We start from the raw sequence: 25,667 nt of genomic DNA on the forward strand, positions 1-25,667 counted from the left end.
CCACACACACACACACACATACACCACACAAACACACACACACACAGTTCATTATCAAGTCTTCCCATTTTTTTCTTTTTCTTTTTTTGAAAGGGAGTCTCACTCTGTCGCCAGGCTGGAGTGCAGTGGCACAATCTCGGCTCACTACAACCTCTGCCTCCCAGTTTCAAGCAATTCTCCTGCCTCATCCTCCCGAATAGCTGGGACTAAAGGCATGCACCACCATACCCAGCTGATTTCTGCATTTTTAGTAAAGATGGGGTTTCACCATGTTGGCCAGGATGGTCTCAATCTCTTGACCTCATCATCCTCCCGCCTCAGCCTCCCAAAGTGCTGAGATTACAGGTGTGAGCCACCACACCTAGCCCAAGTCTTATCATTTTTCTATTGGGTTTGGTTCTTCATTCCTCAATTCAAGAGTTCTTCATGTATTACAGATATAGACCCTTTATCTCTGATATACATTGCAAATATGTTCTCTCAATTTGTCAGCTGTCTTTTGACTGTGGGATATTTTGTCAATATAGCAAGAGCTCTTATAAATTGAGATCAGGGGATGCCTGGGGTTTGCAAATCTGAAATGGTATGCAAGTGGTATGTCTGCTTTTCTGAAAGGTCTGCAGTGTTCAGATTTCCAAAGGGTCCTGTGACCTGAGAGTGATTAGGAGCTGTTGCTGCTGCCCCACATCTTCCACTGGCCTAACTGTGCCCCACAGGACCACTTCTGCTGAATGACCTCTAAATTGCTGAAGGCTTCTCTCACGTCTCTTGACTGTTCTCTTTCACAAGTTACACACCCAATGACCTGGCCTCCAGATGCATATTTTCAGGTTGTGTCATTAGTGTGAATACTTATCCATGAATGCATTCCTGGTTTTCTATACCTCTCACACACATGACAACAACAGGAAAGTATAATACTCTAGCTGTGGCCTAACCAGCACACAACAGAGCATGACCACCACTTCTCAGTCCAGATAACACATTTCCCTTAATGATATTAAGAGCAAATTGGCTTTTCCTGGAACAAAGTCAATTCTAATTGACCTGCTAAAACCTGCAGGTCTTCCGTTTCCCCTTTCCCCGTAAGTATTTCTGTTTCTTTTCAATTGTGGAGATCACTTTTTGAAACTGAGTACAAAATGTTAACATTTATATCAATTAAATTTCATTCTGCTTTATACAATTCAAAATGGAATATACACTGGTGGAGCTGGGAGGGAGAAAAGGAATGATTTTAAAAAAGAACAGGGTGGCGGGGCGCGGTGGCTTGCGCCTGTAATCCCAGCACTTTGGGAGGCCGAGGTGGGCGGATCACGAAGTCAGGAGATCGAGACCATCCTGGCTAACACGGTGAAACCCCGTCTCTACTAAAAAAATACAAAAATTTAGCCAGGCGTCATGGCGGGCGCCTGTAGTCCCAGCTACTAGGGAGGCTGAGGCAGGAGAATGGCATGAACCTGGGAGGTGGAGCTTGCAGTGAACTGAGATCGTGCCATTGCACTCCAGCCTGGGTGACAGAGCAAGAATCTGTCTCAAAAAAAAAAAAAAGAACACTGAGATAGTAATCTAGTTCTTAGGTTGATTGTTATGTAAGCATGTGTATGTATATGTATGCATATATAAACACATATATACATGTGTGTGTTCATTATACTTTATGTGTATTACGCATGCTTTTATATCAAACATTACATTAAAAAACTTTTCTCTCCTGAAGTGGCAGGTCCCTAAATTGGAAAAAAAAAAAAAAAGAAACTTTTCTTGTTAGACTCAGCCCACCACATCAAGAAGTAACACAATAGGAACTCTGGGATCCTTAGCCTTTTACCTATTTAACTGTATTTTTAAAAGATAGGGCATTGGCCGGGCGCAGTGGCTCACCCTGTAATCCCAGCACTTTGGGAAGCTGAGGTGGGCGGATCACCTGAGGTCGGGAGTTCGAGACCAGCCTGACCAACATGGTGAAACCCTGTCTCTATTTAAAAAATACCAAAAAATTAGCCGGGCATGGTGGCAGGCACCTGTAGTCCCAGCTACTCAGGAGGCTGAGGCAGGAGAATGGCGTGAACCCGGAAGGCGGAGCTTGCAGTGAGCTGAGATTGTGCCACTGCACTCCAGCCTGGGCAACAGAGCAAGACTCCATCTCAAAAAAAAAAAAAAAAATTAGCCAAGTGTGGTGGTGCATGCCTGTAGTCCCAGCTACTCAGGAGGCTGAGGCAGGAGAATGGCGTGAACCTGGGAGGCGGAGCTTGCAGTGAGCTGAGATTGCGCCACTGCACTCCAGCCTGGGCAATAGAACGAGACTCCATCTCAAAAAAAAAAAAAAAAAATTAGCCGGGTGTGGAGGCACATGCCTGTAATCCCAGCTACTCGGGAGGCTGAAGCAGGAGAATTGCTTGAACCCAGGAGGTGGAGGTTGCAGTGAGCTGAGATCGCACCATTGCACTCCAGCCTGGGCAATAAGAGCGAAACTCTGTCTCAAAAAAAAAAAAAAAAAGGCATCACAGTGTAAACTCAAATATCATGTTCAAATGTTACTTAATGCTTCATTCATTCCTAATCATAGTCACTGTATGAAGCCCACTAACAACAATTAACTGCCCTTTATCCTGTGTAAAGAAAAGATATATGTATCAAGAGCGGGATGGGAGCCTAGCCTAGGCAGCCCAAAGAACATATGAACCTGATGGTGGGTCTAGAGCAGGGGTTGGCAAACCACAGCCCTCAGGCCAGCAGCCTGTGCTAATAAAGTTTTATTGGAATACAGCCACATTCATTCATTTATGTATTGCCTCTGCCCACTTTATGCTACAATGGCAAAGCTGAGTTGTTCCAAAAGAGACCATATGAGGCCAGGCATGGTGGCTCCTGCCTGTAATCCCAACACGTTGGGAGGCTGAGGCAGGTGGGTCACAAGGTCAGGAGTTTGAACCCAGCCTGGTCAACACAGTGAAACCCCGTCTCTACTAAAAATACAATAAATTAGCCGGGCGTGGTGGCCAGCGCCTGTAATCCCAGCTATTCAGGAGGCTGAGGCAGGCGAATTGCTCGATCCCAGGAGGCGAAGGTTGCAGTGAGGCAAGATCACACCACTGCACTCCAGCCTGGGAGACAGTGAGAGACTCAAAAAAAAAAAAAAAAAAAAAAAAAAGGAGACCATATGACCTGCAAAGCCTAAAAGATTTACTACGTGGCCCCTGATAGAAAAAATTTGCTGACCCCTGGGTTAGAAAACCACCCTGTGGAGAGAGTCCGCTGGACAGGTACATTCCTTTAAGAATTTGGAGGGCCCAGCAGGGTACGGTGGCTCACGCCTATAATCCCAACATTTTGGGAGGCCAAGACGGTCGGATCACCTGAGGTCAGGGGTTCTAGACCAGCCTGGTCAACATGGTGAAGCCCTATCTCTACTAAAACTACAAAAATTAGCCGGGCGTAATGGTAGGTGCCTATAATCCTAGCTACTCAGGAAGCTGAGGCAGGAGAATCGCTTGAACCTGGGAGGCAGAGGTTGCAGTGAGCCGAGATCAAACCACTGCACTTCAGCCTGGGTGACAGAGCAAGACTCTGTCTCAAAAAAAAGAAAAAAGAATTTGGAGGGCCCAGCTCAGTGGCTCACACCTGTAATCCCAACACTTTCAGAAGCCGAGGTGGGAAGATTGCTTGAGCCCAGGAATTTGAGAGCAGCCTAGGTAATATACTAAGACCCTGCCTCTATTAAAAAAAAAAAAAGAAGAAAAAAGAATTTGAGACCATCACACTATCATAGCTCACTATTAGTCTCAACTAACCAACCTCTCTGGGTATAATTTCAAGCACACATCGGCTGGTCATGGTGGCTCATGCCTGTAATCCCACCACTTTAGGAGGCTGAGGTGGGTGGATTACTTGAAGTCAGGAGTTCGAGACCAGCCTGGCCAACATGACGAAACCCCGTCTCTACTAAAAACACAAAAAAATTAGTTGGGTATGGTGGCTTATACCATAATCACAGCTAATTTGGGAGGCTAAGGCAAGAGAATCACTTGAACCCAGAAGGCAGAGGTTGCAGTGAGCCAAGGTCGTGCCACTGCACTCCAGCCTGGGTGACAGAATGAGACCTTCTTAAAAAAAAAAAAAGCCTCCCTTCAAAGGTTTCTCTGTGATACCTCACTCCAACCTACCAAAACATAAGGACTGAGTATATCTATATCATTTCTTAACATCAAATGCTGAAATACCATGATTTTCACAGACTCAACATTTCATATACAGTCGCTGCTTCAGAGAACTGACACTTTTTTACTAAGCACTTCCTCTCTTCAAGTGTCTGATGTGACATAAATGTTTTAAAAGATCATCAAAACAAAGTTAACTTCAAAATCGACATTTCGGAAATGTTTCAAGAATAAATCATGAGCCAACCGTCAGCATCTGTATTTTATCCAGAGAAAGCTGTCATTCACACTCAACTCTTCGGAATGGAGATTTCATTTCTTACCTGACTCGGGCTAGTCTTTTCTTCAGCAGCTGTGGAATGTTGATGTGGATCTTCCTTTGCTCCCTCAGAGGGTTCTCTTATAATTCCTGCCTGGCCCCCTGGATCTCTGAAGACCTTTGGCTCCATGCTCTCGCTTCTCTTTGCCCTATCCAAGATCCCAGATGCCACAGAACCTCCTGCTGTGGAGTCCACTAGCCCACATCGCCCAGGCTCACTCCCATGATCCAAGGTCTCATAGGTTTCTTCACAACAACTCTCCACATGAGTCCTCTGCAGCTCCAAGGGCAATGCCCTATTCTGACTTAAAAGAGAGCTTGAGGCTCCAGGTTTTACATCTGGAATCACACTTGGCTCAGGGTCAGCATGAAGCTCTCTGGAGACACTTACTGGGAGTTCAGAGTATAATTCCTGTACCACGGCAGACATGGAGGAATCAAGTGGAACTGGCTGAGTCTCTACTCCAGATGACAGCATTAGGACAGATGCAGATTATGGAGTCAAGTCTTTTACATCAAATGATTCACCCTGACACAAATCACAGGAAGGGATAAAAGTTTAAAACCTTGATAGGTTAGAAGAAGGCTGCCTCAGTTCAAACCGGCTACAACGAAGAAAATAAGTTCTACTTTAAATGCCAGCATTATCTGGCACCAAAAATTTCTCCTTAATGAATTTGTAGAAAAATAAATACCTTAACCTTTAATAACGTTTGAGATTAGACAGCTCTCAATCAAATCTCAATTCAAATACTGCCTTATGAACAATTCTCAATTTAAACGTGAAGGGCCTGCCAATGTAGAAGAGAATAAGACATGCCTAAAGCATCCAAGGATAGACCTGATGTAAATGAGAAAATAAAGATGGTTTTCTGTTTGTTTTCATGGGCATGAACCTTACCTTTTTTGTTCACTGCCATATCCCCATGCTATCCCATAGTACGTACTCGGCAAATATTTGTTGAATGAATATATACTGAGGAACTCTGGAAAATTTCATATACTGACTTTTCCTCTTTGAGGGAGGATAGGGATAAAGTGGGATTCCATTCCTTTACTGCTTACTAAATACTTCAGCTCTCTCTACCCAGGCTAGCACAAGACACTACTAAACCAGCTCGTTAGCAGAATCCTTCCTGATTTTTATCCTGCATCTTTAGATTTTCCAAGTGTTTTCCACAGTCATCACTCATTTGATTCTCTTAACAACCCTTTGAGCTAAGTAGGGCAGCTATCAGCTTCTTGTTTTAGATCCTAACACCACACCTGAGGAGGTTAAATATGACCTGCCTAAAATATTACATGGTTGTCTGAGAGGATGAAAGTGGAGGTATATTAAGAGAGAAAGAGCTTCCACTGTGTTCGTAATGTTTCATTTCTTGCAGTGAATGGAAGTAACAGGTTATTTGCTGAAACACTTATATCTATGCAGTTTGTAATACTGCACTATACAAGTAGCCAAAACACACACATACTCAGGGCCAGGGTTTCTTGGCTCCTAACTTTCCCAGTTTAGTGTACCAAACATGCAGTTTCCACAACAACAAAATCCACTTTGACCATTCTGATTAGTCTGAATGTTTACAGGCCTTGAAATAAATCTTGCCTAAGTAGGGGAAAAAAAAAATCTGCTTTGACCTGACCAAAGCAGAAATGGGTCAGCCAGATAAGATACTTCATGCTTTCATTTTTTTTTTAGACAGGATCTTGCTCTGTCACCCAGGCTAGAGTACCATGGTGCAATCGTTCCTCACCGCAGCCTCCCTCTCCCAGACTCAAGTGATCCTCCTGCCTCAGCTTCCTGTAGCTGGGACAGGTGCACATCACCACACCTGGCTAATTTTTTTATTTTTTTGAGATGGAGTCTCACTCTGTCACCCAGGCTGGAGTGCAGTGGCATAATCTTGGCTCACTGCAACCTCCGCCTCCCAGGTTCAAGTGATTCTCCTGCCTCTGCCTCCAGAGTAGCTGGGACTACAGGCGTGTGCCACCACGCCCAGCTAATTTTTGTATTTTTAGTAGAGACAAAGTTTCACCACGTTGGCCAGGCTGGTCTTGAACTCCTGACCTCGTGATCTGTCCACCTCGGCCTTCCAAAGTGCTGGGATTACAGGCATGAGTCACTGTGCCAGGCCACACCTGGCTAATTTTTTTTTTTGGTGGAGACAAAGTTTTGATATGTTGTCCAGGCTCGTCTCCAACTCCTGAGCTCAAGCAATCCTCCTGCCTTGGCCCCGCAAAGTGCTGGGATTATAGGCACAAGTCACCATGCCTGACCCACACTTTCATTCTTGATGCTTTCCCTAACCCTAAACAAGGAGAGAAAAGATGAATTTTAACGAACCTTCCCAAAGGTAAAAGAGCGTAACGTTATAATACTAACTTAAATATCAGAAGTGATAAGAAATTAGATTGCTGTTCCATGATGTTTAGGTAACACAGAAAGGCGAATTAAAAAAATTAAATCCAAAAGATTAGGCTGGGCGCAGTGGCTCACACCTGTAATCCCAGCAGTTTGGGAGGCTGAGGCAGGTGGATCACTTGAGGTCAGGAGTTCGAGAACAGCCTAGTCAATATGGTGAAATCCAAGGCGGGGCATGGTGGCTCACGCCTGTAATCCCAGCACTTTGGGAGGCCGAGAGGGGCGGATCACGAGGTCAGGAGATCAAGACCATCCTGGCTAACACGGTGAAACCCTATCTCTACTAAAAATACAAAAAATTAGCCAGGCATGATGGCGCGCGCCTGTGGTCCCAGCTACTCAGGAGGCTGAGGCAGGAGAATGGTGTGAACCCGGGAGGCGGAGCTTGCAGTGAGCCGAGATTGCGCCACTGCACTCCAGCCTGAGTGACAGAGCGAGGCTCTGTCTCAAAAAAAAAAAAAAAAAAAAAAAAAATTGTGAAATCCAGTCTCCACTAAAAATACCAAAATTAGCCAGGCGTGGTGGCAGGCTCCTGTAATCCCAGCTACTCGGGAGGCTGAGGCACAAGAATCGCTTGAACCTGGGAGGCAGAGGTTGCAGTGAGCCGAGATCTTGCTACTGCACTCCAGCCTGGGCAACAAAGCAAGACTCCCATCTCAAAGAAAAAAAAGAACAAGCAATAAAACAAAACAAAACATTACCAAGAGATAAACTGTGTGTACAGGGGAAGAGCGAGAATCAAATGAGATTCTGGATGTGAAAAGCTTTCATAAACAGTGCTGTAAGGCTGGGTGCGGTGGCTCATGCCTATAATCCCAGCACTTTGGGAGGCCCAGGCAGGCAGATCACCTGAGGTCAGGAGTTAGAGACCAACCTGGCCGATATGGTGAAACCCTGTCTCTACTAAAAATATAAAAATTAGCTGGGCATGATGGCAGGCACCTGTAGTCCCAGCTACTTAGGAGGCTGAGGCAGAAGAATTGCTTGAACCTGGGAGGCGGAGGTTGCAGTGAGCCAAGATCACGCTACTGCACTCCAGCCTGGGTGACAGAGTGAGACTCCGTCTCAAAAACAGTGCTGAGAGAAATGTATCCCTTTTAGATCTAGAATCTTCCCCTTTCTCCTTTATTTCCAGATACAGAAACATCTTTCTAGGGGCACTTCAGATTTTAGGCCATTTATGTATGTGTAAGGTGGGGGATGGGGGAGGTTAGTAGAGATAACGTGGAGTTGCTATTTGATGCCAAAAATAAGTAGGAAGTGCTCAATTTTAATTTGGTTCAGTTTTCCTTTCCCAACAACATACACAGTCCAGTTTTCACCTGTCACAGCACATACAGATTTGAAGAGTAAATGCAGGAAAGGATATTGTAAAAGAGCAGATTTTTCGAAGGAGATGGGCTCCTTGGGTCTCTGCCACCTTATGCATCTGATCCTGCCTACCACAGAGATATGGGTGTTCTTAAAACTTAATCCTTGACTACTCTCTTTTTAGGCTTCACTTTCTTGATAACGTCATCTTTTTCTGCAGCCTCTGTAATGAGGATGACTCAAAACTCTTCCTTTTTTTTTTTTTTGAGATGGAGTCTTGCTCTGTCGCCCAGGCTGGATGAAGTGCAGTGGTGCCATCTCAGCTCACTGCAATCTCTGCCTCCCAGGTTCAAGGATTATCCTGCCTCAGTCTCCTGAGTAGCTGGGATTACAGGCACATGCCATCACGCGTGGCTAATTTTTGTATTTTTAGTAGAGACGGGGTTTCACCATGTTGGCCAGGCTGGTCTCGAACTCCTGACCTCAAGTAATCCGCCCGCCTCGGCCTCCCAAAGTGCTGGGATTAAGGGTGTGAGCCACTGCACCTGGCCTAAAACTCTTCCTTTAAGCACAGAGTTACCATAGGATTCAGCAATTCCCCTCATATGCATACATGCACAAAACATATGTCCACATAAAAATTTGTACACAAATGTCTTTAGCAGCACTACTCACAATAGTCAAAAAGTATAAGCAATCCAAATATCCATCAACTGATGAATGGATAAACAAAATGTGGTATAGCCCTACAATGGAATATTATTCAGCCATAAAAAGGAATGGAGAAATAACACGTTACAACATGAATGAACCTTGAAGACATTATGCTAAGTGAAAGAAGCCAGTCACAGAGATCACATATTACAAGATCCCCTGTATAGGAATGTCTAGACTAGGCAAATCTTACTATGAACCCAGCTACTAAGAGGGGAGGATCACGCCCATGGGAGGCCAAGGTGGGAGGATCATGAGGTCAGGAGTTCGAGACCATCCTGGGTAACACGGTGACACCCCGTCTCTACTAAAAATACAAAAAATCAGCTGGGCATGGTGGCACGCGCCTGTAGTCCCAGCTGCTCTGGAGGCTGAGGCAGGAGAATCACTTGAACCTGGGAGGCAGAGGGTGCAGTGAGCCGAGATTGCGCCACTGCACTCCAGACTGGGAGACAAAACCGAAAGTCTGTCCAAAAAAAAGGCTGGGATTCTTGGAGAAATTGGGAGTGACAGCTGAGGGACACAGAGTTTCTTTCTTGAGTAATAAAAATGTTCTAAAGTCAATTATGGTGATGGCTGTAGAACTCTGTGACTATACCAAAAACCACTGACTGGTACAATTTAAATCAGTCAATTGTATGGCATATGAATTAAATCTTAAAAAAATGATTTCTTTTAAAAAAGAACCTGGCCGGGAGCGGTGGCTCAAGCCTGTAATCTCAGCACTTTGGGAGGCCAAGGTGGGTGGATCACTTGAGGTCAGGAGTTCCAGACCAGAATGGCCAACATGGTGAAACCCTGTCTCTACTAAAAATCCAAAAAATTAGCTGGGCATGTTGGCGAACGCCTGTAATCCCAGCTACTTGGGAGGCTGAGGCAGGAGAATCGCTTGAACCTGGAAGGCGGAGGCTGCAGTGACCTGAGATGGGGCCACTGCACTCCAGACTGGGTGACACAGTGAGACCCTGCCTCGAAAAAAAAAAAAAAGAACCTGACCTTGACCCCAACCTTTCTTTCAATTCCTAACCTACATTTCACTTGCAAGAATGGCACCCCCAAAACTTACCAAGTTTAAAACAGAATTCATTCAATCTATTGAATAACTGAGTCTTTGAGTCTTTCTACACGCAAACAGCTTTGAGAAACAGGTATAAATAAGACGCCCTCAGCAAACTTACATGCTCATTCATTAAAAAAAAAAAAAAAAAGACAGGGTCTTGCTGTGTCGCCCAGGCTGGAGTGTGGTGGTGCGATCATAGCTCACTATAACCTTGAACTCCTTCTGCCTCAGCATGCCTGGTTAATTTTTTTTTTTTTTTTGGGATGGAGTTTCGCTCTTGTTGCCCAGGCTGGAGTGCAACAGTGCGATCTTAGCTCACCACAATCTCCACCTCCCAGGTTCAAGAGATTCTCCCGCCCCAGCCTCCTGAGTAGCTGGGATTACAGGCATTTGCCACCACACCCAGCTAATTTTGTATTTTTTAATAGAGATGGGGTTTCTCTATGTTGGTCAGGCTGATCTCAAACTCCCAACCTCAGGTGATCAGTCCGCCTTGGTCTCCCAAAGTGCTGGGATTACAGGCGTGAGCCACTATGCCCGGCCTACTTTTTTATTTTTGTAGATAATTTTGTATGTCTTGTTATGTTGCCCAGGCTGGTCTCAAACTCCTGGGTTCAAGCAATCCTCCCACCTCAGCCTCCCAAAAGTGCTGGAATTACAAGCGTGAGCCACTGTGACTAGCCACATGCTGATTCTTAATCCTGTTGCTTCTCAGAAAAGGCACCATCAATATTCTAGAGCTTAGATTTGAATCCCCAGCCATAACCATATCTGACTTCCCCTCACCATTCAATCAGCACTTGCAGCCTGTGGACTCAACTCCCTGCAGTGTTTCTAGTAAATCATATTCATTTCCATCCCCACAGTTCTAGCTCAACATTTGTTCCAAATGTTGCTCCACATACGGTCATACACAAATACAGGTTTACTAAACAGATCTTTATCATAAACAGTGAATACTGATAATCACATAAAATGGTTCACCTCTTGATACTCTTGTTTGGACCAAATTCTAAGAATTTCAACCTGTAAAACAACTAGGCACATTGGCTAGAGAACCAAAACAGACACCCCCTCCTTTTTCTCCTGGACTAATTCTGGGTCCTCAAATTTCTGAACAGAATTGCAGATACGTTACCAAGAACAGCTGGAACCCTAAGAGGTGAGGTGATATTAAATGCAAGCCTAGAGTGGCAGGTTAAACATGGCCGGGTGCTTTGGCTCACGCCTGTAATCCCAGCACTTTGGGAGGACAAGGCAGGCGGATCACGAGGTCAGGAGATCGAGACCATCCTGGCTAACACAGTGAAACCCTGTCTCTACTAAAAATACAAAAAATTAGCCGGGTGTGGTGAGGGGCGCCTGTAGTCCCAGCTACTCGGGAGGCTGAGGCAGGAGAATGGCATGAACCTGGGAGGCAGAGTTTGCAGTGAGCGGAGATTGTGCCACTGCACTCCAGCCTGGGCGACAGAGCGAGACTCCGTCTCAAAAAATAAAAAATAAAAAATAAAAATAAACTTATTTTCAGCTCAGTAGCTCACACCATCTATCAAAATATTGGTAATGCCACAAGACTGCAGTGACAGAACCCGATTTTGAGAAGACATTCAAGTTCTTTAAATTCCTGAATGCAATGGAGCAATCTAAAAGGATGATGTAGAAATACATCTCTACAGCCGGGCGTGGTGGCTCATGCCTGTAATACCAGCACTTTGGGAGGCTGAGGCGGGTAGATCACTTGAGGTCAGGAGTTCAAGACCAGCCTGGCCAACATGGTGAAACCCTATCTCTACTAAAAAATGCAAAAATTAGCTGGGCGTGGTGGCAGGAGCCTGTAATCTCAGCTACTTGGGAGGCTAAGGCACGAGAATCGCTTGAACCTGGGAGGCAGAGGTTGCAGCGAGCAGAGATCGCGCCATTGCACTTCAGCCTGGGTGAGAGGGAGACTCAGTTTAAAAAAAAAAAAAAAAAAATATATATATATATATAAGCCAAGTATCACAGTGTTACCTTGGACAATAGGATCACCAATGACTTATCTGTATGTTGAACTTTTTTTTTTGGAGATAGGGTCTCTGTGGCCCAGGCTGGAATGCAGTGGCTTGATCACAGCTCTCTATAACTTCAAACTCTGGACTCAAGCAATCCTCCTGCCTCAGCCTCCTAAGCAGCCAGGACTACAGGCGCGAGGCAGTGAACCCAGCAAATATTTTTATTTCTTGTAGAGACAAGGTCTCACTACATTGCACAGGCTGGTCTTGAGCTCCTGGCCTCAAGTGATCCTCCCACCTCGGCCTCCCAGAGTGAGCTGCTGCACCCAGCCTTGTACTTATTTTTCAAAACAGTGAGTATATATTACATATGTTAAAATGTTGTCTAACCATTATTTCTCAAGATCTAAACACACAGCAATAAAAACAGCTGATAAGTGTATTTTCAGTATTTTTTATCAGTATGTTTTATCAGTATTTTTCCAGCTGTCAGCTCTCTGCCTTAACCACCAATGCTTTTACATTAAAGTGTTAAATGTGAAGTAAAAGGGAAGAGTGAGTAACACATGCTTATAAAATGTAGACAGGGATTTACAGCTTAATCTTTGCTAATGACTTATAATCAACCTATTGGGTGAGGATACCAGATAATTACCTAGTTTGAGGTATAAGCAAAAAATAAACCATAGATTTATGAACGACTTTTGACAGCTGCTACTGGCTTGTCGTCTTTATCACAACACAAATAAGTACTATATTAGAATGTGTAGGGAATGGATTTATTCCCAAAAACTGACTAATACTTACAGGAAGTATGAAAATTATTATTCCAGTAAAAGTAGAAATTCTTTTACGTTGAGGACAATTATTTCATGTTCTTTCTTTGCAAACGCACAAATACTTCTCCCAGCAGTCTTTTTTTTTTTTTTTTTTTGAGACGGAGTCTCACTCTGTTGCTCAGGCTGGAGCGCAGTGGCGCGATCTTGGCTCACTGCAAGCTCTGCCTCCCGGGTTCATGCCATTCTCCTGCCTCAGCCTCCCAAGTAGCTGGGACTACAGGTGCCCGCCACCACGCCTGGCTAATTTTTTTATTTTTTTTATTTTTAGTAGAGACGGGGTTTCACTGAGTTAGCCAGGATGGTCTTGATCTCCTGACCTTGTGATCCGCCCGCCTCGGCCTCCCAAAGTGCTGGGATTACAGGTGTGAGCCACCGCGCCTGACCCTCTCCCAGGAGTCTTTTTTTTTTGAGACAGAGTTTCACTCTTGTTTCCCAGGCTGGAGTGCAACAGCATGATCTCGGCTCACCGCAACCTCTGCCTCCCAGGTTCAAGCGATTCTCCTGCCTCAGCCTTCCTAGTAGCTGGGATTACAGGCATGTGCCACCATGCCCACCTAATTTGTTTTGTATTTTTAGTAAAGATGGAGTTTCTCCATGTTGGTCAGGCTGGTCTCAAACTCCCGACCTCAGGTGATCCACCCGCCTCGGCCTCCCAAAGTGCTGGGATTAGAGGCATGAGCCACCGCGCCTGGCCTCTCCCAGCAGTCTTAACTGCTGGTCTCTTCATCAGGAAGCCAGGGTCCCTTATCCTGCTCTCACATACTAGATGCAGAGTCTTGAGTGTGTTAAGTGAAAGTTAAGTGAACTTTCCCGGGCTTGTTTTTCACATGTTCATCAAAATAAGCTCAAAGGGTCTTGTCACCCATAAATATCCTAAGACTCCAAAGAATAACTTTTCTATTTCCCTTTGTTTCAGAAAAGCACACCTACAGACACCAACAATGGTGGTATAGAGCTCCCACTAATCCCCTCTGCAATTACTCAACGGCGTTTGAGGTAATTTAAGAACACTTTACATACAAAAAAAGATGGTAAGCGTTTCTTTAGTGTGCTTTCAGGTAATTTGGCAGTGTTAATTCCTATCCCACCAAAAAAAAAAAAAAACAAAAACAGGAAAACAAACCTACCAGTGAAGGATTAACATTGTTGCTCTCAATCTCATCAGAATACATTTTATAACACTAAAAACCTGACAAAGTGGCAACTTTTAGTCATTCAAACACTCCCCAAAACAAAAGTTCTGGAGGTACAAAATTTACAGCAACAAGCAAAAAAAAAACAGAACATAAAACCGTGTGCCTCAATAATCCCGAATCTGAAAGTCTCCCCTCCCTTTAATTCCAATGCATAGGGGCTGTTAATAACACTAGGCGCTGCCATGCTTGCTTCAGGAACAATACTCACAATAATGACCAGGCCCTCAGAAGCTCACAACACTCTTTTCACCTTGAGAAAGGGGCTTTCTTTTCCAAAGATTCAGACATTGTAGCCATTCCCTCCAAGAGGGAATTTGGAGAATGGGCCTCTTCTTGAGAAACAAAGAAAGAAGAGTTTTTTAATAAAATCCCAAGACAAACCAAAAGTGAGGCAGGGAAGTTCATACACTAAACAGGGCAAGCGCTTCAACATGGAGCGTGCAGAAAATCTCTAAAGCATCAAGGACTATTTCCCATTTCCTCCCTTTAATAACATCCAGAAAAAGGATCCCTGTCTCCACGTAAGGAGTGAAACTGGAAAATGCTCCTGATTTCTACTGACAGAGGCTTCCTGTATAAAAGATTTTCCTCTGTTTTATAAAGGAAAAGGAGAAAAGAAACAATCTGTGTCATTTTCCATATACAAGAGGGAAGAGATCTCTCCTCAAAGGTATAGAGTCTTCATTTTCTTGGGAGAGCAAAAGACAGGAAGAATATGGAATCGCCCACTTGGGGGGGTGGGAAGGATGTGCAGATGGAAGATTTTTTGTCACTACAGTAAGTCAGGGAAGTGGGAGAGGGCATCTCTAACCAGTCAGGAAGAAGTGATACCTTCTGTGGACAAAGGAAGTGCTGGCGTCTGGCATCAGGTCTCACTTTCTCTTAAGAGCACAGACCTGTTTCCAAAAGCTAAGTCTTTTTTTTACTGATTATTTTCAGTGAGGCCCTCTTTGTTAATTTGGGAAAGTATTGAACAGCAGGATCTAAGGGGACTGGAAGTGTCTCTTTCTCTAACCCCTAAGTGGGAGGGAGTCTTCCACTCCAGTGAGAAAGGATGGTTGAACACTTGTGATGGAGGCTGCGAGGGGCATGCATGGAAAAATATGCTTCTCTGTGCAAGATATTAGTTTTCTTTTTTAACAGATTAAGTAATAGTAATAGCAACAGCTTACCAAAAGCTTACTATATAACTAGTATTTACACAAATGCTCCCTTAGCCCGCATGACAATTCTAAGAAAACAGAACCCAAATTGGAGATGGACTGAGATTCAGACAAGTTAAACAAATAGTCAAGGTCACAAAGACGTTAAGTGAGAGACCCAGGTTTGCAACGATTACACTCCAAAAGCCATGCTCTTAATAATGCAAGGGAAAGGAGCTCACTGCACACCAAGAGGCTTAAAGGGAAGAAGAGAAGCGAGGGTCTCTCTGTGGACATCACGAGGGGAGAGGGAGAAAGGTTGATTTCTGATACCATAAAGTAAAATTTCAAGGTCTTCCTCTCCGTATCTTGGGGTACAGGCGAAAAATAAAGGAGGAAGGTAAGTCTCTTTCTTACTGGGAAGAAAGATCCCCTCTGTCACTTTCAGGCAAGTTGGGTCTCACTCTTCACCTGGGTGACGCTGACCAAAGTTGGGGGAAAGGTCTCATTTAGGGGTTATCTTTTACTCCTCCTCAGGATAAGTTCAGAATCCCCCTCGAACCCTGGGAGTGGGTCTCCCTCTGCTGACCAACGGATGAGCGCTAAGAAAGAGCGTACGCCTCCGATAAGGGGCGTCGTCCTCTCCGAGGAGATAAGTTGGGGGATCCCTGTTGTATCGAGGTTGAAGAGGAGTCTCTCTCCCGCGTCGGAGCCATGACTCGGAGAAGCCGCTTTTCTCTAGCGACGCGGGGCCTGGTCTCCTCCCTCTCCCTGGGTCGTTCCGCCGCCCACAGGGCAGCCTTGGTTCCTTTCCGCGCCCCGAGAGGGCGGGGGGCCTGGACTCCCCTTTAGCAGCACCACCCGGCGGAGGGTCCCTTTAGGGCGGAGTGGGGCGGGGCGGCTACGCCCGAAGCCTTCCAGTCCCGGCCTCTTACCCTGAGACCTCCTCCGCGGCCCGCGCTTGCCCAGCCAGCTCAGCCCCTGCAGCTGCAGCCCCGTCGTCGCCAGGTCTACCTGAGCCTACGGAGCCGACAGAGGCCGGGGGCGCTCCGGCCGCCGCCACCTCTTCGTCTCTATGGTCCCCCTGCACTTCCTCATCCGGGGCCCGAGCCAGCCATGCGGACTCGCCCAAATCCCGCCCCCGCACCGCGCGCGCGCACTCCAAGGGAAGGCTCTTCCTGATTCTGACCTCCCGCCCTCTGCTAGCCCCAGCCTCCCTCAACCCCGCCCCTGCGGCTCAAACTCTTAAAGGGAAACACAACTTTTGGTTCTGCTCCTGCTGAGCCACAGGACCCAGTGCCGGCCTTCGCTGCTGTCACCCTGTTCCAGTCCACCGTTTTTCTAGTCTGGACGGCTACAATTCTAAGGGCCTGCCTGCTTCCACTCTGGCAGCCCGAGAGATCTTATTCTACTGGAAAGAGTGTTTTGGGTCATGACACTCCTCTGCTTCTTCTAATCACACTGACCACTAAATAAATGGCACCTCTGCCTCCAGTTGGTTACAGAACCTTGTTTTATTTTCTTCATAGCTTTAACACTAGCTGAAATTTCTATGTCTCATCTCTTTATTGACTTGTTTATCATTTATCTTCCTCCACCTTGTCTGTTTTGTTCATCACTTAATGCTCAGCACCAAGAGCAGTGTCCGGCACAAAACTAGACGCTCAATGGACATTTGAAGGAAGGAAGAAATGTTTATCCAGTGGAAGAATTGAGGTCCAGATAATGAAATCGACTTGCCCCAAATAATACGGCTTTGTGTTAAAAAATAGAAATCGACCAGGCGCGGTGTCTCACGCCTGTAATCCAGCACTTTGGGAGGCGAAAGCGGGAGAAGCACTTCAGCCCAGAAGTTTGAGACCAGCCTGGGCAACATAGTGAGACATCGTTTCTGCCAAAAAACAAACAGCTGGGTCTGGTGATGTGTGCCTGTAATCCCAGCTACTCTGGAGGCTGAGGCAGGAAGATCACTTGAGGCTGGAAGGTTGAGGCTGCAGTGAGCAGTGATAGTGCCACTGCACTCCAGCCTGGATGACACAGCAAGACTCTTTCTCAAAACAAAACAAAAATTGCTCAGGTGTTGATGCACCTGTGCTCCTAGCTACTGGGGAGCCTGAAGCAGGAGGATCGTTTGAGCCCAGGAGTTTGAAGCTGCATTGAGCTATGATGGTGCCCCCACTGCACTCCAGCCTGGGCAACAAAACAAGACACTGTCTCAAAAAAAAAAAAAAAAAAAAAAATTGAATGCTTCAAAGTTTCGTTTCTTTCTTTCTTTTTTTTTTTTTTGAGACGGGGCCACGTTCTGACACCAGGCTGGAGTGCAGTGGTAGGATCTCGGCTCACTGCAACCTCTGCCTCCCAGGTTCAAGAGATTCTCCAGCCTCAGCCTCCTGAGTAGCTGGGATTACAGGCGCATGCTACCATGCCCAGCTAATTTTTGTATTTTTAGTAGAGACAGGGTTTCACCATGTTGGCCAGGCTGGTCTTGAACTCCTGACCTCGAGTGATCCGCCTGCCTCGGCCTCCCAAAGTGCTGGGATTACAGGCGTGAGCCACCACTCCTGGCCTTCAGAGTTTCTTTATGAGAGTTGCCAAATTAAAAAGTTAAAATATTTGCCTTTTGGCCGGGCGTGGTGGCTGAAGCCTATAATCCCAGCACTTTGGGAGGCCAAGGCGGGCGGATCACGAGGTCAGGAGATCAAGACCATCCTGGCTAATACGGTGAAACCCCCTCTCTACTAAAAATTATAAACAATTAGCCAGGCGTGGTGGCGGGCACCTGTAGTCCCAGCTACTCGGGAGGCTGAGGCGGGAGAATGGCATGAACCCGGGAGGCAGAGGTTGCAGTGAGCCGAGATCGGGCCACTGCACTCCAGCCTGGGCGACAGAGGGAGACTCCGTCTCAAAAAAAAAAAAAAATTTGCCTTTTTAAGATGTCCCATTATGGACATCTCTCAGGAGAAGGAATCAAATTCCCTTGAGGGCTAAGAAGAGAGAATCCTATTAGCTTCCCCAGGGATGGAAGAATGTCCCATCAACCACCATTGCTAAAGACAAAAACTATCTTGGGGGATCTAGGTGTATCTCCTGAAGTGGCAACATAGAAACATTTTTTAACATAACATTGTTATTCTTAAAAAATTTTGTAACTGTTGCAATCCACTGTATCACATATGTTTTATTACAAGATAAACAATTTCAGCCAGGAGTGGTGGCTTGGCCTGTAGTCCCAGTCCCTTGGGAGGCTGAGGCAGAAGAATCACTTGAGCCCAGAAAATTGAGGTTGCAGTGAGCTATGATAGAACCACTGCACTGCAGCCTTGGCAACAGAGCTAGACCTGGTCTTGGGGGAAAAAAAAGGCCCGGCTACAGTGATTGGTGCCTGTAATCCCAGAACTTTGGGAGGCCAAGGCGGACGGATTACTTGAGCTCTGGAGTTTGAGACCAGCCTGGGCCACATGGCAAAACCCCGTCTCTACAAAAAATACAAAAATTAGCTGAGCATGCACCTGTAATCCCAGCTACTAGGAGGCTGAGGTGGGAGGATCGCATGAGCCAGGCAGGCAGAGATGGCAGTGAGACGGGATCATGCCACTGCACTCCAGCCTGGGTGAGGGTGACCTCATCTCAAAACAAAAACAAAAAAACAAACAAACAAAAAAATTGCAATTACTTAACACTTGCATTATTTACCTAACTTCTCCTGAGTCCCAACATAAAGGCATCCATGCTTAAGAACGTTGCTTGTCCTGTCCCAGGGTCCCCTTGGTCCACTGCAGAATCTTTCACTACAGTGTAACATGTTTTTTCTTTCAACATTTTTAAGTTTTCCAAATCCGTAAGAAATGGGCACTGTTAGTATTAAAGATATAAAGAAATTTAAGACAAGTGCTGTGTCGTTTAGATTTAGCAGTCAGTGTGATTAGAAGCAGCAGAGGAGAGGCGTGACCCAAGACACCGATTCTAGTTATAAGGTCTCTCTGGCTTCAAGAGGGGAAGCAGGGAGTCCCTATCGAGTTGCTGCCGCTCAGGTCAGAAACGGTGGACTGGACTAGGGGGCGGGGGTATCAGTGGCAGCAGGCGGAGCTGGCAATTGTCAGGAGTCCTTGGCCAGAGCCTGACCCAGCCCACCCAGCTCTCTGGTTTTCTGCTTGGAGAGAAAGATATCCTGACAGACGCGAGTTTAGGCAGTGCCCTGGGTATGACCAAAGGATGTTGGTTAAAGGCCCCGTTCTGGGAACGGGTCAGGATTCGTCCTTGCTTCCTTCTGAAGGGTTTTGTGTCCTCAGGCTGTTTCCTGGTTTGTGAAATAGGATAGTATCTGCCTCCTGCATCCATCAGGTAATAGGGATGCAATGATTACATAAGGACTATGAAGCCACGGCAGCCATTCTTATTAATAACCTGAGGGGCGCAGAACGTCGTTTAGAGTTTGCAAGGGTTTGAAAAGCCCCCCGTAAGTGGACACTTCCCAGCAGAGGCCATCACCCTAACTCTCGCGTGCTCAGCCCCTTGCATTTTACAGAAGTCCTCCCAGAAACTCTCGTTGGCGCCTCTTAGCTGCCCAATGAGGCCACATGAGTCATTAACCTCGTTCATATAACAGAAAACGGAGCTCTGACGGATCTCGTTTCCCCTGTGGGGAGATCACTGAGTCGGAAACGAAGCTCTGTGGCCATGGATCTACTTCGGATAGACTAGGAGGAAATGGATTTCCTCCGTGGGGCGGGAGGCTCTAGTGCTCGAGGGCAGGAAACGCCAGGAGGTGGCCCAAGGAAGAGGCCGCACACGACGCCCCGCCCCCGGCTCGAGCCCCGGATGAGGAAGTGGTGCGGCCACCGAGACGAGACGGAGGCCCGGCGAGAGCGGCGCGGGGGCGCGAGGGCGGGAAGGAGGCGGGGCCCCGGGGCGGAGCCACCGGAGCGGCGCGGGTTCTCAGGTGAGCGCTACACGGTCGGGGCGGGCCTAGTAGGCGCTTCAGGCTTAGGGGCGGAACAGCGCGGGCCGCGCGGGCGTAGGCGGGGTATCTGGAGGAGGCGCAGGGAACCTGGAGAGGGTCCAGCCCTCAGTGCCCCGGCCAGAGGCGGGAAGGGGCTCTAGAGCTTCGGTGAGTGGAGCTGCCCGCCCCGGACTGGGGATTGGGGGGGCTTGAGATAGGGGACCTTGGCCCAGGTTCGAGTTCCAGGCTCCATCCCCATTCCGCTGTGTGACCTTGGACAAGTCTCTCTCCCTCTCTGAGCCTCAACGGCCTCAGCTGTGAAACGGAGTCAGGGAAGGTCTGCTGAGAGTTCGCACAGACCGAGGTTTGGGGAAGGAACTTCTGCCTTCCTCCTCTTTGTGGTTGCCTTGCTCAGGACATTGGCAGCAAAACGAGAATGGTGGGAGTGTCTCTTAAGTCTCGAGTGACCTTGAGCAAGTCCCTTGCCCGGAGTCACACTTTCATCATCTACAAAATGAGTGGGCTAACCTCTTTTAAGATCTCTTTACTATTTGGGTGTTATTGGTGTAGATGGAGACAAGGTGATGAGCACCCATTCAGCGCAATGCTTCCCCTATGGGGGTGTGATAGAATATCTTCTCCTAGGTTTGACTAGCCCCTGGCCCGAATTCCCCTTAGTTCCTGGATTCTGTGGTTCTATTTGTTCTCCATCGCTCCTTGTAACTGGAGGAGTGACTTCTTCCGAGAGTCACTTGGCACCACTTCACAGCAGAGGAACACCAGTATCTTCACTGGCCTAAAATCAAAGAGTGGTTGCAAGGAAAAATCTGACATTCCAACCTTTTCGTTTGTATTTCTGTGGCAGGGAGGCAAGATGACTTCTCTGCCCCAAGCTTGGAACAGCTAAAGGGAAAAACAGTGCAAGATGAGAACAACAAAGGTCTACAAACTCGTCATCCACAAGAAGGGCTTTGGGGGCAGTGGTCAGTATCGATTGGTCTTTAGAGGTTTTGTAAGTTGGCTGAGGTTCTGGTGTGTGCAATACCTAGAAATTACACACTGACTCGTGTGACAATTGAGGCTAAACAGGCGACTAAACAGACTAAAGCAGCAACTGTCATACAGTAACAATAGGAGGATGGCAGGACCCTTCTAATGCATTTGCATTCAGACTTTTAAGGAACATTGTGAATGCTGCCGGTTTACTACCCTTCATTTGTTGAATTGCATTATTAATTACAAATCTTCCGTGTATGTTCCATAAAATTCCAGCCTGCACTGGTTTGGCAGATAAGAGAAACTAAAATCGTTTATCAGTTTTTACATTGAGTGAGAGAGAAGTGGCATAGATGTGCATAGAGCAGGTATGATCAAAGCATGAACCTTTGCCTGGCTTGTAGGCATGGGAAGAAGGAGCAGGATACAGCATGTTATTCTGCACTGAGCTATAGTCTGAGTATCTACTCTGCTTCTAATTTTCCTGGTGACCTTGGGCAAGCTCCTAGTGTACCTTATCTGAAAGTTGAAGGGCTTTAGAATAGTTTCTCTTAACATCTATTTTTTTTCCTTTCTTTTCTTTTCTTTTTTTTTTTGGGACACGGTCCCCCATGTTGCCCAGGCTAGTCTGGAACTCTAGAGCTCAAAAGATCCTTCCACCTCAACCTCAACCTCCCTAATAGTTGGGATTACAGGCGTGAGCCACTGTACCCAGCTCTCCTTAGTGCCTTGAATCCATAAATCTGAAGAATAAAAGGGCACTTAGTATAATTTTTTTTTCTTTTGTAAGGGAATAATTTTCCATTCTGTCTTAACAGCATTATTTACTTCAGAAATTGGAGTTAACAATATAATGAATCTTTTTATTTTATTTTATTATTTATTGGCATTTTTTTTTTGAGACAGAGTCTCGCTCTGTCACCAGGCTGGAGTGCAGTGGCGTGATCTCAGCTCACTGCAACCTCCACCTCCCAGGTTCAAGCAATTCTTCTGCCTCAGCCTCCCGAGTAGCTGGGACTACAGGTGCATGCCGCCACACCTGGCTATTTTTTTTTTTTTTTTTTTGTATTTTAGTAGAGAGGGTTTCACCATGTTTCCCAGGCTGGTCTCGAACTCCTGAGCTCAGGCAATCCGCCCACCTTAGCCTCCCAAAGTGCTAGGATTACAGGCAAGAGCCACCGCGCTGGCATGAGTCTTTTTAACATTGTATTTTAGGGTGTATTTACTTCTACATTATGTAGGTATAAGCCTCCAGAGGGGAAGGACTGCCAAAAAGGGAAAACAATAGTTTCTCTATCATAGAGCATTGTGAGGCTTAAGTAAAGTGATACATGTAATGCATTTAGCAGAGTGTTAGACTCTGTGCTCAATAAATGTAGCCATTGTAATTACCAGGCTACAGGCATTGCTATATTTAAACTACAATTTCTGCTAAAATGCACAGTCTATTGTTATTACTTTGATGCTGTTGATGTTGCCTAAATATTTGTGGAGTGGAATAAAGCAAATAACTTTTGGCAGAGAAAAGAATACAAGGATACAGTATATACAACGTATACAAATACATGTTTTTATGTATAAAATACAAAGGTAGTTAGATGCTGTATCCAGTCTTCTGCAAGACTATAGGTCAAAATACAACTAACAGCTGGACATGGTAGCTCATGACTGTAATCCTGGCATTTTGGAAGGTCAAGGTGGGCAGATCACATGAGGTCAGGAGTTCAGGACCAGCCTGGCCAACATAGTGAAACCCCATCTCTACTAAAAATACAAAAATTAGCCAGGTGTGGTGGTGCGTGCCTGTAATCTCAGCTACTAGGGAGGCTGAGGCACGAGAATTGCTTGAACCCAGGAGGCAGAGGTTGCAGTGAGCCGAGATCATGCCACTACACTCCAGCCTGGGCAATAGAGCAAGACCCTGTCTTTAAAAAAATAAAAAATAATAAAAAAAAAAGAAACAACCAACAGATATTTATTAGGTGTATACCTGTGCCAGACGTAATGATTATGAATGCCACAAGGTTCTTTGTCCCTAAAGAGTTTTCAGTTTGGTAAGATAGACATGCAAAAAGGAAATGATAAAACCAAGCAGAAGGGGATATGTTCTCAGGGACCTTAATTCAGACTATGTAAATTAGGGAGGAAGCTCCAAAGAGCATTTGTCGTGAAACTGTCAGTGGAAACATAGCAAATAAAATTAGGGATTGCTGGGTGCAGTGGTGTATGCCTGTAGTCACAGCTACTCAAGAGGCTGGGACAGGAGGATCACTTGGGCCCAGGAGTTCCAGACTATAGTACATTATGCTGATTGGGTGTCTGCACTAAGTTCTGCATCAATATAGTGACCTCCCAGGAGTGGGGGACCACCAGCTTGCCTTAGGAAGTGTGAACCACCTCAGGTTGGGAACAGAGCAGGTCAAAACTCCTGTGCTGATCAGCAGTGGGATTGTCCCTGTAAATAGCCACTGTACGCCAGCCTAGGCAACAGCAAGACCTTATCTCTAAAAGAAAACAAAAAAATTTGGGAGTAAGCCAATGTTTCATTTTACTAGGCTAAATTTTTGTTGGGTCTGATTATATTTGAAATCTAGATAAACTTAATTGTCATGATATTAGCATAATTAAAGGTGATGTCTTTCCTTGCAAATTAAAACAGCAAAACAGTCATTCTGTCTTTATGCTTCTGAGTTTGCAATATTTGATAGAGTTCTCCCCATCCCTAGTAGAGGGGCAGGGGTAGATAAACATGAAACCACATCCCTCTTATTTTATTTATTTATTTTTTTGAGATGCAGTCTCTTTCTGTCACTCAGGCTGGAGTGCAGTGGTGTGATTTCGGCTCACTGTAACCTCTGCCTCCCGGGTTCAAGTGATTCTCCTGCCTCAGGCTCCCAAGTAGCTGGGATTACAGGCTCCCACCACCACACCTGGCTAATTTTTGTATTTTTAGTAGAGACGGGGTTTCGCCATGTTCGCCAGGCTGGTCTTGAACTCCTGACCTCAGGTGATCTGTCCATCTCGGCCTCTCAAAGTATTGGGATTACAGGCATGAGCCACTGCTCCTGGACTCTCTGAGGTTATTTTCTTACTCCTGTTAGATCTAAAGATTTATTGTGACGGTCACATTAAGACACTGTTTGGGAAATTCTTTGAACATTGAATAACTGTAACGAATTGTGCTGTATCTGTGGGAACCAGCCTGTTTTGTTCCTGTTATATGCCAGATACACAATATTTGAGGGGGTAAAAGGCTGTCCAGAAGCCTAATTCCCAGATACTAAGGGCTGCTCTGCCCCTGGAAGCAGTGCGGTAGTAGAAAGGGCACAGGGTATGGAGACAAAGGTACCTGAGCGCCATCCCACTCTGCTGCTGTGTAGCTTGGTGTTCCTGTGTGAATCCATTAGTCATTGTAAGCCTCGTTTCAAAATAGAACCTCATCTGTCAATGGGGTGGCAATACCATCCTGATGGGGTTGTGAGGAACCAGTATGAGAACATACAGTGTACCTAATGAGTGTTTTTCTACTTGAAGTGGCTGAATTGTCTTTCAGATGATGAGCTAGTTGTGAACCCCAAAGTGTTCCCTCACATCAAGCTTGGAGACATTGTAGAGATTGCACACCCCAACGATGAATACAGGTGAGTGTCTCATAGGATCCATGGAACTGGGCAATTCACTGTTTCCAAATGATGTCCAAGGCAGATAGCTCTCTTTGCCTTTCAAAATGCTCATGCTGTGATGGCTCAATCCTGTAATTCCAGCACTTTGGGAGGCTGAGGTGGGTAGGTCATTTGAGCCCGGGAGTTCGAGACCAGCCTGGGCAACATAGAGGGACCCTGTCTTAAAAAAAAATGATCATGCCTTCTAGGATTTGATCAACAAATAATTTTTCAAAAGTGGTCCATTCCTTCGTTTTTTTTTTTTTGAGATGGAGTCTAGCTCTGTCACCCAGGCTAGAGTGCAGTTGTGTAATCTCAGCTCACTGCAACCTCTGCCTCCCAGCCCCAAGTGATTGTCCTGCCTCAGCCTCCTGAGTAGCTGAGATTACAGGCTCAGCCTCCCGAGTAGCTGAGATTACAGGCATGCGCCATCACGCCCAGCTAATTTTGCATTTTTGGTAGAGACAGGGTTTCACCATGTTGCCCAGGCTGGTCTTGAACTCCTGACCTCAGGTAATCCACTGGCCTTGGCCTCCCAATGTGCTGGGATTACAGGTATGAGGCACCGCACCTGGCCTAATTTTTGTGTTTTTTAGTAGAGATGGGGTTTCACCATATTGTCCAGGCTTGTCTCAAGTCATCCATCCTGCTAGGCCTCCCAAAGTGCTGAGATTACAGGCATGAGCCACCATACCGAGCCGTTTTTTTTGTTTTTTTTGTTTTTTTTTGTTTTTTTTGAGATGAAATCTCACTCTGTCACCCAGGCTGAAGTGCAGTGGTGGGATCTTGGCTCACTGCAATCTCTGTCTTCCGGGTTCAAGCCATTCTCCTGCCTCAGCCTCCTGAGTAGCTGGGATTACAGGCGCGTGCCACCATGCTTGGCTAATTTTTGTATTTTTAGTAGAGACGGGGTTTC

The 25,667-nt window shown here is 46.1% G+C and overlaps 2 protein-coding genes and 1 pseudogene across 39 annotated transcripts in view, besides 4 other annotated features; 2 read left to right on the forward strand and 1 right to left on the reverse strand.

Moving 5' to 3' along the window:
- The window catches only part of PRR14L (proline rich 14 like), a 68,786-nt gene extending 52,557 nt beyond the window's left edge, over nt 1-16,229 (reverse strand). Inside the window, exons 1-2 of the mRNA NM_173566.3 lie at nt 16,090-16,229; nt 4,484-5,008 (exon numbers count right to left, since the gene is read on the reverse strand). Coding sequence (NP_775837.2) covers nt 4,484-4,957 — 474 coding nt within the window. The 5' untranslated portion in view covers nt 4,958-5,008; nt 16,090-16,229. The remainder of the gene's footprint in view (nt 1-4,483; nt 5,009-16,089) is intronic.
- Nucleotides 15,239-15,871: an enhancer, noted in NCBI's record as "NANOG-H3K27ac-H3K4me1 hESC enhancer chr22:32145128-32145760 (GRCh37/hg19 assembly coordinates)". NCBI's record gives its function as "activates a minimal SCP1, AML or CMV promoter by ChIP-STARR-seq in primed H9 embryonic stem cells {active_cell/tissue: H9 hESC(primed)}" and the evidence as "EXISTENCE:reporter gene assay evidence [ECO:0000049][PMID:30033119]".
- Nucleotides 16,111-16,670: an enhancer, noted in NCBI's record as "active region_18871". NCBI's record gives its function as "activates an Ori minimal core promoter by ATAC-STARR-seq in GM12878 lymphoblastoid cells {active_cell/tissue: GM12878}" and the evidence as "EXISTENCE:reporter gene assay evidence [ECO:0000049][PMID:35858748]".
- Nucleotides 16,160-16,454: an enhancer, noted in NCBI's record as "tiled region #5994; HepG2 Activating DNase unmatched - State 1:Tss, and K562 Activating DNase unmatched - State 1:Tss". NCBI's record gives its function as "activates a minimal TATA promoter and a strong SV40 promoter by Sharpr-MPRA in HepG2 and K562 cells {active_cell/tissue: HepG2 | K562}" and the evidence as "EXISTENCE:reporter gene assay evidence [ECO:0000049][PMID:27701403]".
- Nucleotides 19,881-20,190: a silencer, noted in NCBI's record as "silent region_13638". NCBI's record gives its function as "represses an Ori minimal core promoter by ATAC-STARR-seq in GM12878 lymphoblastoid cells {active_cell/tissue: GM12878}" and the evidence as "EXISTENCE:reporter gene assay evidence [ECO:0000049][PMID:35858748]".
- DEPDC5 (DEP domain containing 5, GATOR1 subcomplex subunit) overlaps nt 20,065-25,667 on the forward strand; it is a 154,066-nt gene continuing 148,463 nt past the window's right edge. For 23 of the 38 annotated variants that reach the window (NR_157128.1, NR_110988.2, XR_007067997.1 and 20 more), the window contains exons 1-3: nt 20,116-20,261; nt 20,959-21,076; nt 24,643-24,730. Coding sequence is in view for 32 of the 38 variants with exons in the window: in NM_001242896.3 (NP_001229825.1) it covers nt 21,019-21,076; nt 24,643-24,730 (146 nt within the window). In the remaining 6 variants the exon portion in view is untranslated. Of the gene's footprint in view, nt 20,094-20,115; nt 20,262-20,958; nt 21,077-24,642; nt 24,731-25,667 lie in introns of those variants that run through there. The other 15 variants (NR_157126.2, NR_157125.2, NR_146296.2 and 12 more) reach the window with 2 other exon arrangements.
- On the forward strand, nt 23,299-23,595 carry RN7SL20P (RNA, 7SL, cytoplasmic 20, pseudogene; annotated as a pseudogene).

The sequence above is a fragment of the Homo sapiens genome, chromosome 22 (assembly GCF_000001405.40).
Source record: "Homo sapiens chromosome 22, GRCh38.p14 Primary Assembly".
In the NCBI taxonomy this organism is placed as follows: domain Eukaryota; kingdom Metazoa; phylum Chordata; class Mammalia; order Primates; family Hominidae; genus Homo; species Homo sapiens.